Consider the following 16,944-nt stretch of genomic DNA (forward strand, 5'->3'; position numbering starts at 1 on the left):
AGGGATTCAGAACAGATTCACTCCCTAAGCCATGTGCCTTCCAAGCAGAATGTCAGAATAATTTATTTTAATACTCAAATATCCCCTGGTAAAATATTTTAAAAAGAAATTTATTTTTAAAACTTTAATTGACAGGTTATCTGGTCAAGATTGAAAATGAACTATTTAGAACATATATTGGTAACTATATATTGAATCATTTTATGGTTATCCTTATTTTCTAAGAATACTATATTAAATATTATTGAGAAAATGCAAGTAAAGTAATAAATAATTGACATTTCTACTTTGAACATAGTTCCATTTAAGTAAACTTGACTTTCTTAGATTGAAAAAAAAGTGAATATGGACTCATACTCAGTCTTGCTAAGATTTCAAGTGTTACAGAAAAAACAAAAGATGTGGTTGAAGTGAAATTAAGAAATTGGCATAATCGGCTTGGGGACACTTTCTATAGTCTCTTGAATATAAAAGAAAAGGGCAAGCTGAGTAGGAATGGCAGGCGCTGGCGGAGAGCTCTTAACTGCTCCTCATCTGCTTAAAATGTGGGTCATTATTAAACAGACAATATTAATCAGTGAAAAAAATGATGTCTTAGCCAAATTAGTTACCAAAGTACCAGAAGTTCTAGCTGTTGGAGCCCAAGAGAACAGATAACAAAAGTGACCTCTTGCTAAATATTGGAAAACCTCACTAGGTATTGGAGGCCCAGACAAGCTCTAATCATCCTTTCTCTCTGCATTGCACATTTCAGATATAGCCAAGTCTGGGGAAGAATGTAGCTTCTTCAGAAGGAGAAGAAAGTAAAAGACAAAATGAAGAGGGGAGAATAAAGGCTCATATGGAAATTGCTCATATAAACCACTTCTATCACCACAATCTAATTTTAGAACCTTGCCATCACCCCTGAAAGGAAGTAGTACCTCGTAGCATCCCCATTCTCAAGCCCCAGGCTTCTGTTATACTTTCTGTCTGTATAAATGTGCCTATTCTGGACATTTCCTATAAATGAAATGGCAGGATATGCATTTCTGTGCGTGAGACGGGCTTCCTTTACTGAGCACAGTGTTGTTCAGACTCATGATGCTGTGGCATGTGTCAGTACTACACAACTGTGTAAAGATGACTCTGTAAATGTATTAAAAGCCATTGAATTGTACACCTTAAATGGGTAATTGCTTGGTATGTAAGTTATATTTCACAAAGCTCTTTAAAAAATGGAGAACCTCACAGGGAAGTGTTCATGTCCACTCAGAGACAACCAGAGGGGCTCTGGCTTCCTCATCTAAGGAGAGTAAGGCAGAAGGTTCATCGGGAGAGTCAGGAGCATTCAGGAAATGGAAGCATCCCTACCTAATTTCAATCATCGGTCAGCATGCAAAATCACAACCTCGAGTATTATCACCTTAAAATAAGTAGTTAATAGAAATTACGTTCCTGGGAATATTATAAGCAGAAACCATCCAGATAATTAAAAGTAAATTAGGTACCCAAACAGATTGAAACAGGACATTAAATGTCAGATCTGCCTGTTCAGAGATTTATATAACTATAACCTATATTTGGGGAGTTTATTAGATCCTACCCACAGGTAATGCAAACTAGTGACCTTGTTTTTTCTTCTCTTAGCAATCCCACTGTCAACATAGAATGAAAAACTGGCCGTCAGGGAATGTAGGGTGTGAGATGAATATTTTAATACGTGTAAAAAATTGGATATTTGATCCAATACTTTGTATTGGTAACTTACTGAGTTCTAAATTTGTTTTATGTGAAACTAGAAAAGTTGAAAGCCAACAAAAATGAAAAATATTTATAAGAGCATTTGGAACACTCCAAAGGAAATGTCGACAAAGATTGCAACTAAAATGTGTAAGTCAAAATATAATAGCTTATTTAATGAGCTGGTTATTCTAGAACTTACACACTGTGGTAAAATTATGAACCTACCAAAATTATTCTACTTAAGAATTTCAACCAAGTTTAAAAGTCTCTCATGACTCCTGATATTAGTTTGATTACATGGGCTGGTATTTTTAAATGGGTTTTAACAGCCAGAATAATTCAATATATATATTTTCCTCTAACAGCCTTTTGAAAAGTGAATCCCAACCTTAGGGATAATGGTCATAAAAGATAAATAATATTAGTTCCCATAAAAAAGAGGTTACCAAGAAAAACTTCAAAGGTCTGATTTTGCCTCTGCTCTTTTATTTATTACAGTTTCCTATTACATGTACAAAATGTTATCTAAGCTATTAATTATGTTATGCTTTACATTTCTAGTTCCTTCTATTATCTCTTTTTTAAAAAAATAATACTCTGGGCACATATTAATTATGACATCATTTGAATCAATTTTCTAGAAATTTAATTTCCAACATTTGGATAAAAACATAATATAGGTAATTCCTTTTTTTTTTTTTTTTTTTTTTTTGAGATGGAGTTTCACTCTTGTTGCCCAGGCTGAAGTGCAGTGGCACAATCTCAACATGAGATGTGGCTTCACTTCTCACGGCAACCTCCGACTCCCAGGTTCAAGCGATTCTCCTGCCTCAGCCTCCCTAGTAGCTGGGATTCCAGGCATGTGCCACCACACCCCGCTAATTTTGTATTTTTAGTAGAGACTAAACATGGGGTTTCTCCATGTTGGTCGGGCTGGTCTCGAACTCCTGACCTCAGGTAATCTGCCCGCCTAGGCCTCCCAAAGTGCTGGGATTCCAGGCGTGAGCCACTGTGCACGACCAATATAGGTAATTACTAATGAGAGTTTAGACAAGACCCAGGCCTCAAACACTTTCATCCTCTCCTTTAGTCGAATCTTTTAAAATTAAAAATAAACATTCTTTTCTGGATTCTAACCTTTTGAGACTTGGCAAATGTTATGGTTTGGATCCGTGTCCCCACCCACATCTCATGTTGAATTTTAATCCCCCACGTTGGAGGTGGGGTCTGATGGGAGGTGATGGGGTCATGGGAGTAGATTTCCCCATTGGTGCAGTTCTGGTGATAGTGAGTGAGTTCTCCTGAGACCTGTCACTTAAAAGTGTGTGGTACCTCCCTCTTCCCTCTGTCTTCCTCTTGTTCTGGCTATGTGAGCTGCTTGCTCCCCCTTTGCCTTCTGCTATGATTGAAAGTTTCCTGAGGGCTCCCCAGAAGCCCAGCAGATGCCAGCATCATGCTTCCTGTACAGCCTGCAGAACCATGAGGAATTAAAGCTCTTTTCTTTATAAATTACCCAGGCTCAGGTATTTTTTTTTTATAGCAGTGCAAGAACCGACTAATACAGCAAATTTTTAAGACTGGGTTTTAAATCAGAAATAAGAATGGTAGAAAAATTGCTGGTATTTTGGTCAGCACTTTGTTTTAGATTTTTGTGAGGTTTCTTTTGTTTGTTTGTTTTAAATCTCAGCTTGTTTTTTGTTCAGAGAATTGATGGTGAGAACTGGCAGTCACTTACTAGCCCTCTGCTTATGACTCCTTGTATTTCTCTTGTGTGTCATTCTATGTCTCAGGTGAGCAAAATATAGATGATAATCCAGGCTATACATGATTTTATTGTGCTAAGTTTTACCAAGTTGCTCAGGCAACGACTTCAGTTAGAAATTTTAATGGTCCAAAATCCTAGAGTTACTACTTAGAAAAAAGATCTTAGTGCAGTGCTGACCAATGAATATAAGGCTGTGCACCAAATAATGATGTTTCCATCAATGGCCAACAGCATATATGATGGCGACCTCATGAGATTATAGTATCATCATTTTACTGTACCTTTTTTATGTTTAGATATGTTAAGACACACAAATACTTACAATTGTGTTACAATTGCCTGCAATTCAGTACAATAACATACTGTACAAGTTTGTAGCCTAGGAGCAATAGCCTGCAACACATAGCCTAGGTGTGTGGTATGCTTTACTATTTAGGTTTGTGTAAGTGGATTCTGTGACATTCACATGATGACAAAATCACCTAAAGACACATTTTTCAGAAGGTATCCCCATCATAAAGTGACCCATGACCGTGTAATACTAACTGCCTACATAATTTTAAACATTTCATAGTTATGTTAAAAAGTCAAAAGAAAGTGAAATTAATTTTAAACATATATTTAACCCGATATATTCACAATATTATCACTTTAAAATGTTTTTGATATAAAAATAATTGAGATAATTTGCAGTCTTTTTTTCATACTAAGTGTTCAAAATCAAACTTGGACTGGCCACATTTCAGTTGCTGAGGAGCTGCACGTGGCTAGCAGCCATGATACTGGACAACAAAGGCTCAAATAGCATCTGAGTGATGTTGAACAGTGATGCCACATTGACTAAGATCGTCAAGTCTGTTCGTTACAGCAGCCAGCATCAGTTTCACCCTGGAGGACAGATTATTTATATAGTGTGTTCTACTTCACTGCCTGTTCTTCAAGAAATAAATTTCCCCTTCCTCTTTTCTGTATTAAAAACCTCTTCTTTGTTTCTCATCCACTGTCCTTATCCTTATGAGTCAAATTTTTTCCTTTTCAGGATGCCCAGTTTTATCTAGGAGAGAAAAAAGGGACTGAGCAAGCCAGCATTATAAGATCTTTGTTTGGCAGTGGACAAAAAGAAATTGTCAAATTATTCTTTCTATTGACGTGAGCCAGAGGAAGAATGACCAGACTTCAAATACCATGAGAGAGAATGAAGTGTGTGTATGTATGTGGGCAGTTATCTTTTAGATTAGAATTTTATTTTAGATTTAATTCTGTCATATTTAGACATAGTAGGCTTTACTTCAGGGCTGTTTTTTTCTTTTCCTCTGTCTATTCTTTGACAACATTGGGCAGATTTAATTAACTTTATTAAATGTTGTTCTCTGATAGAACATGTCTCAAGCACTCCTCTTTGTTCATTATTTTCTTGGATGCTTTACCACATATTTCTTTATCTGTTCCCATAGGTGTATACGGTGAGAACATCATGTCTTTGGTCCATGGCAACCGATCATTATTGGTAAAAGCTTATCTCTTATATTATTCAATCATATTTGCCTTTACCCTGTGTGCATCTCACTTCACCCGAAGGCTTCCATTCTAATGCGTTGCACATGTAACATTAGATTTGAGTATAACTTTGGTGTGTAGTGATATTTGAATCATGTATTAAATTCAGTTAATTGTGGTGCTGTGAGTTTAAATCTGGCTTACATGATTTATCTCTCACCAACATAGTTCTTAAGGCCTAGGCATGTAACACATATTACTTCAATGAACATTGGAATCACTTGATGTAATTGAAATATTCGAATGATGGTTTGATTGTCATTGTTTCAATTGCAGAAACTTACCCCTGTCGCATCACAGTACGTCAGTAAAATGTAATAATTTACATAACATACTAGGGATTTTACACTCTTCCTGCTCATTAAAGGTAATTTTTTGGTTACACTTTCTACATTGTAATTATAAACTAAAAAATCTATTTTTGTCTATTTATTATACATCCATATCCTTTACCTACTTGTTATGTTTATATTCTGTCTTTGCCTCTACAATGTAATCTCCATGAGGGATTTTTAACTGCTTTACTTAATACCTACAACACTGCCTATTGCTCAATATTTATTTAACTCTTTTCCTGCTACTGAGCTACATACTTGGGATATAGTGGTGGAAAAAAACAATCAGTCTTAAGAACTTTACGGTCTAGGAGGGGGCAGTGCAGAGAGATAAACAGGCAATGACATTACGGTGGTCACTGCAAGAGAGTAAGCACGGTGAAGTAAACGAGCATGAAGGTGACCAACCCTACAATTTTCCAGAAATGTTTCTGGAAAATGTGATGGCTAAATGGAGACTTGAAAGTTATTCAAGTGTAAGTTAGATAAAGAAGAGTGAGGGAGGCAACAACAGGTGCTGCAGAAAGCGGAACAAATGCCGAGGTCTGGAGGCAAGCCTGAGTGTGGTATGTTCAGCAAACACATTTCAGGTTCCACAAAATCTCCTAAATCACCTCATTGACAAAAAACTGCCTTCACCTTTCATTCTCAATATTAGTTTTCCTTAAATACTAGTGTTCTTTTTCTTGTAATTTTAATAATATGTATAGCTCCAGTGTTTCTTTTCTTCTCATTTTTCAACTTCAGTGTGAGAATGTGATAGTAGGTAGTCAGGCAGACATGAGCAGGGCAGGAGAAGGGATCTCTTCCCAGGAATGTCAGGCGACCATCCAGTGATGGCCAGGCAATTGTTAAGCTGTCTCTCTAAAATAATAATTGGTCACAGCCAGCACCAGGGAATATCAATCTCCTAATAGACAACATCTGGAGGTGGTGATCAGCAGCTTCCCAGTAAGATCCCAGGAGTTAGGTGAGCTGGCTCAGATATGCACACTAAAAGGCAAAATGGTGGAGCTTAACTCGTATCTGATCTTCTTCTAGAAACACTCGACTGGTAATGAAAAAACACCTCAGGTGAGCATGCACACAACTTCAGAAAACACACTGCATATATGCTCCCTCTGGAGTGCTGGCAGACCACTGCACATGCAGACAGCCCACCCCGAGGGAAAAATCAAGGGAGGGCAAACACAAACCCCAGAACCATGCCAATGTTAAAACCCCAAGTCAAGGGCTACACAGGGCACCTGATCTCTCAAGGTGCCTGCTTGGCCCTCTTCCAAGTGTGCTTTTCTTCCTTTCATTCCTGCTCTAAAACTTTTTAATAAACTCTCACTCCTGCTCTAAAACTTGCCTCAGCCTCTCCCTCTGCCTTAAACCTACTTCTTCCCCTCAGCTGAATTATTTCCTCCGAGGAAGCAAGAATAGAATTGCTGAAGACCCATGTGGATTCACCACTGGTAGCAAGAAGAGGCCTAGATGGTTGTTAACATGTGGAGGAAAGGACTTTAATTCATTTTTGTTCCCCTGACTCACAGACTGACAATACCACTAACAATTAAAAATCCTCCTTTTAGGTAGTAAACAATAAGATTAGTTGAAATACTTATTTTTTAATTCTTGTTGAAAATTCTGATACTTATTAGCCATTACTTAAGTGTGGATCTAACGATCCAATAAAAAAATACTATTCGCCAGAAATATATATATTATTGATGATAAGATGTTATCTGTGATACTCTCCAAGCCAAAACTTTGAATGAAAAGCTAAATATTTACAACAGTCATTTTTCTTCTGAATTAGTCAGGGTTATCTAGAAGGACAGAACTAATAGGATATATGCATATATGGAAGGGAGTTTATTAAGGAGAATTGACACACACAAGGTGAAGTCTCACGACAGGTCATCTGCAAGCTGAGGAGCAAGGAACCAGTCCGAGTCCCAAAACCTCAAAAGTAGGGAAGCTGACAGTGCAGACTTCAGTCTGTGGCCAAAGGCCTGAGAGCCCCTGGCAAACCACCGGTGTAAGTCCAAGAGTCCAAAAGCTGAAGAATGTGGAGGCTGATGTTCAAGGGCAGGAGCCATCAGCACAGGAGAAAGATGAAGGCTGGAAGACTCAGCAAGTCTGCTCATTCCACCTTCTACTGCCTGCTTTTTCTAGTCTTGCTGGCTGCCAATGGGACCAAAATCCAGTGGGGCAGTCATTAAATCTTAATGACTCCAAGTCTCACATCCGGGGCACACTGATGCAAAGGGTGGGCTCCCACAGCCTTGGGCAACTTCTTCACAGGCTAGCATTGAGTGTCTGTGGCTTTTTCAGGCACATGGTGCAAGCTTTCAGTGGATCTGAAAATGGATTTCAGACCATTCTGGGGTCTGGAGGATGGTGGCCCTCTTCTCACAGCTCCACTAGGCAGTGCCCCATTGGGGATTCTATGTGGGGGCTCCAACCCCACACTTCCCTTCCAACTGTCCTAGCAGAGATTCTTCATGAGGGCTCTGCCCCTGCAGTAGACCCCTGCCTGGACATGCCGGCATTCCCATACGTCCTCTGAAATCTAGGCAGAAGTTTCCAACCTCAATTCTTGACTTCTGTGCATGCACAAGCCCAACAAACACCACGTGGAAGCTGCCACAGCTTGGGGCTTGTACCCTCTGAAGCAAAGGCCAGAGCTGTACCTTGTCCCCTTTTAGCCACTGCTAGAGCTGGAGCAGCTGGGACACAGGGCACCAGGTCCTGAGGCCGTACGAAGCAGTGGGACCCTGGGTCCAGCCCACAAAATCATTTGTTTTCCTCCTATGCCACAGGGCCTGTGATTGGAGGGGCTGCCATGAAGTTCTCTGACATAACCTGGAGACATTTTCCTCATTGTCTAGGCTATTCACATTCAGCTCCTCATTACTTATGCAAATTTCTGTAGCCAGCATGAATTTCTCCCCAGAAAATGAGTTTTTCTTTTCTACTGCATGCTCAGGCAGCAAATTTTCCAAACTTTTATGTTCTGCTTCCCTTTTAAACATAAGTTCCAGTTTCAGATCATCTCTCTCAAGTTCAAAGTTCCACAGATCTCTAGGGCAGGGGCAAAATGCCACCAGTCTCTTTGGGAAAGCATAGCAAGAGTGACCTTTCCTCCAGTTTCTAATAAGTTACTCATTTCCATCTGAGACCACCTCAGCCTGGACTTCATTGTCCAAATCATTATTGGCATTTTGGTCAAAACCATTCAACAAGTCTCTGAGAAGTTCCAAACTTTCCCACATTTTCCTGTTCTTCTGAGCCCTCCAAACTGTTCGAAACTGCCTGTTACCCAGCTCCAAAGTTGCTTCCACATTTTCAAGTATCTTTATAGCAGTATCCCACTCTCAGTACCAATTTCCTGTATTAGTTTGTTTTCACACTGCTCTAAAGATACTACCAGAAACTGAGTAATTTATGAACAAAAGATTTATAAACAAAATTGACTCACATTTCCATATGGCTGAGGGAGCCTCAGGAAACTTATAATTATGGCAGAAGGGAAAGCAGTCACTTTCTTCACAGGTTGGCAGAAGAGAGAGAAGAGCAAAAGAGGAATTTTCAAACACTTATAAAACCACTAGCTCTCATTAGAACTCACTCACTATCATGGGAACAGCATGGGGGAAACCACCCCCATAATCCAATCACTTCCGTCTCTTGACAAGTGGGGATTACAGATCTCTCCTTCAATACATGAGAAGTACAATTTGAGATGAGATTTGGGTGGAGACACAGAGCCAAACCATACTGAAGCAGCTACATTGTCTGGGGTATATACCCTGGGGTTTGTTGTCACGCAGCAGGAAAATTTAGAACACAGACACACGCGAGGAGTTTAGGAGCAGAGGTTTAATGGGTAGAAGAGAAAAGAAAGAGAAACTGCTTCCTCTGTAGAGTAGGCATCTCCGAGAACAAAGGGACCAGCTGGTGGCAAATGCTCCGTTTTATAGTCTAGTTTCAGGAGGCGGTGTCTGATTTACATAGGGCTCATAGATTGATTCAATCAGGTATGACATTTACATAGTGCAGGGAAGGCTGGTCGCCCCACCCTAACCTTCTCATGTAAATGTGCCATCTTGTCTTCTCCTTACAGTACCCGTGCCTGGCAGAGAAAGGAAGATGGAGCTACCATCTTGACCATGTCTAGTCCTTAGTTCCTGCCAGCATTCACTGTCAGGCCTCTGAGCCCAAGTGAAGCCATCATATCCCCTGTGGCCTGCACGTACACATCCAGATGGCCGGTTCCTGCCTTAACTGATGACATTCCACCACAAAAGAAGTGAAAATGGCCTGTTCCTGCCTTAACTGATGACATTGTCTTGTGAAATTCCTTCTCCTGGCTCATCCTGGCTCAAAATCTCCCCTACTGAGCACCTTGTAACCCCCGACTCTGCCCACCAGAGAACCCCCATTTGACTGTAATTTTCCATTACCTTCCCAAATCTTATAAAACGGCCCCACCCCTATCTCCCTTTGCTGACTCTCTTTTCGGACTCAGCCTACCTGCACCCAGGTGAAATAAACAGCCTTGTTGCTCACACAAAGTCTGTTTAATGGTCTCTTCACATGGACACACATGAAATTTGGTGCCGTGACTCGGATTGGGGGACCTCCCTTGGGAGATCAATCCCCTGTCCTCCTGCTCTTTGTTTCATGAGGAAGATCCACCTACGACCTCTGGTCCTCAGACCAACCAGCCCAAGGAACATCTCACCAATTTTAAATCCAGTAAGCGGCCTCTTTTTACTCTCTTCTCCAACCTCTCTCACTATCCCTCAACCTCTTTCTCCTTTCAATCTTGGCGCCACACTTCAATCTCTCCCTTCTCTTAATTTCAATTCCTTTCATTTTCTGGTAGAGACAAAGGAGACACGTTTTATCTGTGGACTCAAAACTCCGGCGCTGGTCACGGACTCGGGAAGGCAGCCTTCCCTTGGTGTTTATTCATTGCAGGGACGCTTCTCTGATTATTCATCCATGTTTCAGAGGTGTCTGACCACTCAGGGATGCCTGCCTTCGTCCTTCACCCTTAGCAGCAAGTCCCACTTTTCTGGGGGAGGGGCAAAAACTTGACTGCTTCTCTCCCTGTCTCTACCCCTTCTCTGCTTTTCTGGGGGGCAAGAACCCCCCGGTCCCTTATTTCTGCACCCCGACCTCTTATCTCTGCACCCCGATCCCTTATTCCCATTCCCCAACCTCATATCTCTGTGCCCCAACCCCTTATTTCCGTGCCCCAAGCCCTTTCCTGCTTTTCTGGAGGGTAAGAACCCCCGAACCCCTTCCCTCCATGTCTCTACTCTCTCTTTTCTCTGGGCTTGCCTCCTTCACTATGGGCAATCTTCCACCCTCCATTCCTCCTTCTTCTCCCTTAGCCTGTGTTCTTAAAAACCTAAAACCTCTTCAACTCACACCTGACCTAAAACCTAAATGCCTTATTTTCTTCTGCAATGCCGCTTGACCCCGATACAAACTTGACAGTGGTTCCAAATAGCCAGAAAACTGCACTTTCATTTTTTCCATCCTACAAGATCTAAATAATTCTTGTCATAAAATGGGCAAACAGTCTGAGGTGCCTGACGTCCAGGCATTCTTTCATACATCAGTCCCTCCCTAGTCTCTGTTCCCAATGCAACTGGTCCCAAATCTTCCTTCTTTCCCTCCCGCCTGTCCCCTCAGACCCAACCCCAAGCATCACTGAGTCTTTCTAATCTTCCTTTTCTACAGACCCATCTGACCTCTCCCTTCCTCCCCAGGCCGAGCTAGGTCCCAATTCTTCCTCAGCCTCTGCTCCTCCACCCTATAATCCTTTTATCACCTCCCCTCCTCACACCTGGTCTGGCTTACAGTTTCATTCCGTGAGTAGCCCTCCTTTTAAACTGCCCAGCAATTTCCTCTTAAAAAGGTGGCTGGAGCTAAAGGCATAGTCAAGGTTAATGCTCCTTTTTCTTTATCCCAAATCAGATAGCATTTAGGCTTTTTTTCATCAAATATAAAAACCCAGCTCAGTTCATGGCTCGTTTGGCAGCAACCCTGGGATGCTTTACAGCCCTAGAACCTAAAAGGTCAAAAGGCCGTCTTATTCTCAATATACGTTTTATTACCCAATCTGCTCCCAACATTAAATAAAACTCCAAAAATTAAATTCTGGCCCTCAAACCCCACAACAGGACTTAATTAACCTCGCCTTCAAGGTGTACAATAATAGAGTAGAGGCAGCCAAGTAGCAACATATTTCTGAGTTGCAATTCTTTGCCTCCACTGTGAGACAAACCCCAGCCACATCTCCAGCACACAAGAACTTCCAAACACCTGAACCGCAGCGGCCAGGCATTCCTCCAGGCCCGCCTTCCCCAGGAGCTTGCTACAAGTGCCAGAAATCTGGCCACCAGGCCAAGGAATGCCTGCAGCCTGGGATTCCTCCTAAGCCACGTCCCATCTGTGTGGGACCCCACTGAAAATCAGACTGTTCAACTCACCTGGCAGCCACTCCCAGAGCCCCTGGAACTCTGGCCCAAGGCTCTCTGACTGACTCCTTCCCAGATCTTCTCGGCTTAGCGGCTGAAGACTGACGCTGCCCGATCACCTCGGAAGCCCCCTAGACCATCAAGGACGCCGAGCTTCGGGTAACTCTCACATTGGAGAGTAAATCCGTCCCCTTCTTAATCAATATGGAGGCTACACACTCCACATTACCTTCTTTTCAAGGGCCTGTTTCCCTTGCCTCCATAACTGTTGTGGATTGACAGCCAGGCTTCTAAACCTCTTAAAACTCCCCAACTCTGCTGCCAACTTAGACAATACTCTTTTAAGCACTCCTTTTTCGTTATCCCCACCTGCCCAGTTCCCTTATTAGGCCGAGACACTTTAACTAAATTATCTGCTTCCCTGACTATTCCTGGGCTACAGCCACAGCTCATTGCCACCTTTTCCCCCAGTTCAAAGCCTCCTTCACATCCTTCCCTTGTATCCTCCCACCTTAACCCACAAGTATGGGATACCTCTACTCCCTCCTTGGCGACCGAACATGCACCCCTTACCATCTCATTAAAACCTAATCACCCTTACCCCACTCAATGCCAATATCCCATCCCGCAGCATGCTTTAAAAAGATTAAAGCCTGTTATCACTCACCTGCTACAGCATGGCCTTTTAAAGCCTATAAACTCTCCTTACAATTTCCCCCATTTTACCTGTCCTAGAACCAGACAAGCCTTACAGGTTAGTTCAGGATCTGAGCCTTATCAACCAAATTGTTTTGCCTATACACCCCTTGGTGCCAAACCCATATACTCTCCTATCCTCAATACCTCCCTCCACAACCCATTATTCTGTTCTGGATCTCAAACATGCTTTCTTTACTATCCCTTTTCACCGTTCATCCCATCCTCTCTTAGCTTTCACTTAGACTGACCCTGACACCCATCAGGCTCAGCAAATTACCTGGGCTGTACTGCCACAAGCCTTCACAGACAGCCCCCACTACTTCAGTCAAACCTAAATTTCATCCTCATCTGTTACCTATCTTGGCATAATTCTCATAAAAACACACGTGCTCTCCCTACTGATCGTGTCTGACTAATCTCCCAAACCTCAATCCCTTCTACAAAACAACAACTTCTTTCCTTCCCAGGCATGGTTAGATACTTTTGACTTTAGATATCTGGTTTTGCCATCCTAACAAAACCATTATATAAACTCACAAAAGGAAACCTAGCTGAACCCATAGATCCTAAATCCTTTCCCCACTCCTCTTTCCATTCCTTGAAGACAGCTTTAGAGACTGCCCCACCCTAGCTCTCCCTGACTGATCCCAACCCTTTTCATTACCCACAGCTGAAGTGCAGGGCTGTGCAGTCAGAATTCTTACACAAGGACCAGGACCGCACCCTGTAGCCTTTTTATCCAAACAACTTGACCTTACTGTTTTGCCTAGCCCTCAAGTCTGCATGTGGCGGCTGCCACTGCATTAATACTTTAGAGGCCCTTAAAATCACAAACTATGCTCAACTCACTCTCTACAATTCTCATAACTTCCAAAATCTATTTTCTTCCTCACACCTGACACATATACGTTCTGCTTCCCGGCTCCTTCAGCTGTACTCACTCTTTGTTGAGTCTCCCACAATTACCATTGTTCCTGGCCCGACTTCAATCTGGCCTCCCACATTATTCCTGATACCACACCTGACCCCCATGACTGTATCTCTCTGATCCACCTGACATTCACTCCATTTCCCCATATTCTTTCATGTTCCTCATCCTGAACACACTTGGTTTATTGATGGCAGTTCCACCAGGCCTAATCGCCACTCACCAGCAAAGGCAGGCTATGCTACAGTATCTTCCACATCTATCATTGAGGCTACTGCTCTGCCCCCCTCCACTACCTCTCAGCAAGCCGAACTCATTGCCTTAAGGCAAGCCCTCACTCTTGCAAAAGGACTAAAGGTCAATATTTATACTGACTCTAAATATGCCTTCCATATCCTGCACCACCATGCAAGAGGTTTCCTCATCACACAAGGGTCCTCCATCATTAATGCCTCTTTAATAAAAACGCTTCTCAAAGCTGCTTTACTTCCAAAGGAAGCTGGAGTCATTCACTGCAAAGGCCATCAAAGGGCATCAGACCCCATCGCTCAGGACAATGCTTATGCTGATAAGATAGCTAAAAAAGCAGCTAGCGTTCCAACTTATATCCCTCACTTTCAGTTTTTCTCCTTCTCATCTGGCCTCTCCCACCTACTCCCCCGCTGAAACTTCCACCTATCAATCTCTTCCCACACAAGGCAAATGGTTCTTAGACCAAGGAAAATATCTCCTTCAAGCCTCACAGGCCCATTCTATTCTATCGTCATTTCATAACCTCTTCCACGTAGGTTACAAGCCACTAGCCTGTCTCTTAGAACCTCTCATTTCCTTTCCATCATGGAAATCTATCTTCAAGGAAATCACTTCTCAGTGTTCCATTTGCTATTCTACTACCCCTCAGGGATTGTTCAGGCCCCCTCCCTTTCCCACACATCAAGCTCCGGGATTTGCCCCCACCCAGGACTGGCAAATTGGCTTTACTCAACATGCCCTGAGTCAGGAAACTAAAATACCTCTTAGTCTAGGTAGACACTTTCACTGGATGGGTAGAGGCCTTTCCTACAGGGTCTGAGAAAGCCACTGCGGTCATTTCTTCCCTTCTGTCAGACATAATTACTCGGTTTGGCCTTCCCACCTCTACGCAGTCCGATAGTGGACAGGCCTTTATTAGTCAAATCAGCCAAGCAGTTTTTCAGGCTCTTGGTATTCAGTGAAACCTTTATATCCCTTACGGTCCTCAGTCTTCAGGAAAGGTAGAACGGACTAATGGTCTTTTAAAAACACGCCTCACCAAGCTCAGCCACCAACTTAAAAAGGACTGGACAATACTTTTACCTCTTTCTTTTCTCAGAATTCAGGCCTGTCCTCGGAATGCTACAGGGTAGAGCCCATTTGAGCTCCTGTATGGACGCTCCTTTTTATTAGGCCCCAGTCTCATTCCAGACACCAGACCAACTTGGACTGTGCTCCCCAAAAAACTTGTCATCCCTACTATCTTCTGTCTAGTCATACTCCTATTCACCATTCTCAACTACTCATACATGCCCTGCTCTTGTTTACACTGCCAGTTTACACTGTTTCTCCAAGTCATCACAGCTGATATCTCCTGGTGCTACCCCCAAACTGCCACTCTTAACTCTGAAATAAATAATCTTTGCTGGCAGGGCTATGCTGAACCTCCTTAGGCACTCTCTAATTAGATGTCCTGGGTCCTCCCAATTCTTAGACCTTTAATACCTGTTTTTCTCCTCTTATTCCATTTAGTTTTTCAATTCATACAAAACCATATCCAGGCCATCACCAATAATTCTAAATGACAAATGTTTCTGCTAACAACCCCACAATATCACCCCTTACCACAAAATCTTCCTTCAGCTTAATCTCTCCCACTCTAGGTTCCCACGTCGTCCCTAATCCTGCTCGAAGCAGCCCTGAGGAACATCGCCCATTATCTCTCCATACCATCCCCCAAAATTTTTGCCATCCCAACACTTTACCACTGTTTCATTTTATCTTTCTTATTAATATAAGAAGACAAGAATGTCAGGCCTCTGAGCCCAAGCTAAGCCATCATATCCCCTGTGACCTGCACATACACATCCAGATGGCTGGTTCCTGCCTTAACTGATGACATTCCACCACAAAAGAAGTGAAAATGGCCTGTTCCTACCTTAACAGATGACATTGTCTTGTGAAATTCCTTCTCCTGGCTCATCCTGGCTCAAAAGCTCCCCTACTGAGCACCTTGTGACTCCCACTCTTCCCACCAGAGAACAACCCCCGTTTGACTGTAATTTTCCTTTACCTACCCAAATCCTATAAAACGGCCCCACCCCTATCTGCCTTCGCTGACTCTGTTTTCGGACTCAGCCTGCCTGCACCCAGGTGAAATAAACAGCCTTGTTGCTCACACAAAGCCTGTTTGGTGGTCTCTTCACACGGACGCACATGAAATTCACCTGTGCAAGCTCCCAGCTTTCAGGCTGCTCTTTGTTAGAAAATGATTTGGGGCTGCTTTTCATTAAAAAGAAAAGCCTTACTGAGGACTCCCATACCCTTGCTAACTGCCTAAGTGATTTATTCTTAACTCTTATATCAATATCACCATCAAAAGTCATGCATTGACAAATGTACCCACTTTTGACCAAGGTTTTGTGGCATTGTTGGAAATTGTATTCCTAGAGTAGATATAGGATTTTTACAAAATGTAATTAATGGGGATGAGATTTATTGGGAAACTGTTAAAATACTTTTGACTTATTTAGAAAACATCTTCCTTTAATTTCCTGCAGTAATAAGGTACTTGCCCTTTTTCTAGTTGGACTCTTAGATACACAATAAAAATAGATATATTGTGATCTTTCTTTCTATGACTGATAGATACCTTTTTATAAGTTCACTCTTTAGTCAAGTTCTGGAATTTCACACCATTGATAAGAATTTGGCCCATTCTGAAGCTGCTGAAGCTGTGCTTATCTTGAAGGTTAATTAGATTGTTTGAATTCCAAAAAGAAGGTAGGGGATGGTAAATTCAGTCTCAGTCCTTAGGTAGCTTTCAGTCACCATAATCGAGAAGATCAATGAAAATTTTTAATCAATGAAAGTCAGAAATATATATTGTGGTATCCAAAACATGAAACACAGCACTGAACTCTTCACTAATATAAATCAGTGAATGAGGGCAAGGTCAAAAGGTACATTCTAAAGGGACATGTTTTGTGTCAGGCCTCTGAGCCCAAGCTAAGCCATCATATCCCCTGTGACCTGCACGTATGGGTCCAGATGGCCCAAAGCAAGTGAAGAATCACAAAAGAAGTGAAAATGGTCAGTTCCTGCCTTAACCGATGACATTCCACCACAAAAGAAGTGAAAAATGGCCTGTTCCTGCCTTAACTGATGACCTTACCTTGTGAAATTCCTACTCATGGCTCAGAAGCTCCCCCACTGAGC

The 16,944-nt window shown here is 42.2% G+C and overlaps 1 annotated feature.

Moving 5' to 3' along the window:
• Positions 15,405 to 15,926: an enhancer, noted in NCBI's record as "NANOG hESC enhancer chr4:180647508-180648029 (GRCh37/hg19 assembly coordinates)". NCBI's record gives its function as "activates a minimal SCP1, AML or CMV promoter by ChIP-STARR-seq in naive H9 embryonic stem cells {active_cell/tissue: H9 hESC(naive)}" and the evidence as "EXISTENCE:reporter gene assay evidence [ECO:0000049][PMID:30033119]".

The sequence above is a fragment of the Homo sapiens genome, chromosome 4 (assembly GCF_000001405.40).
Source record: "Homo sapiens chromosome 4, GRCh38.p14 Primary Assembly".
Taxonomy (NCBI): domain Eukaryota; kingdom Metazoa; phylum Chordata; class Mammalia; order Primates; family Hominidae; genus Homo; species Homo sapiens.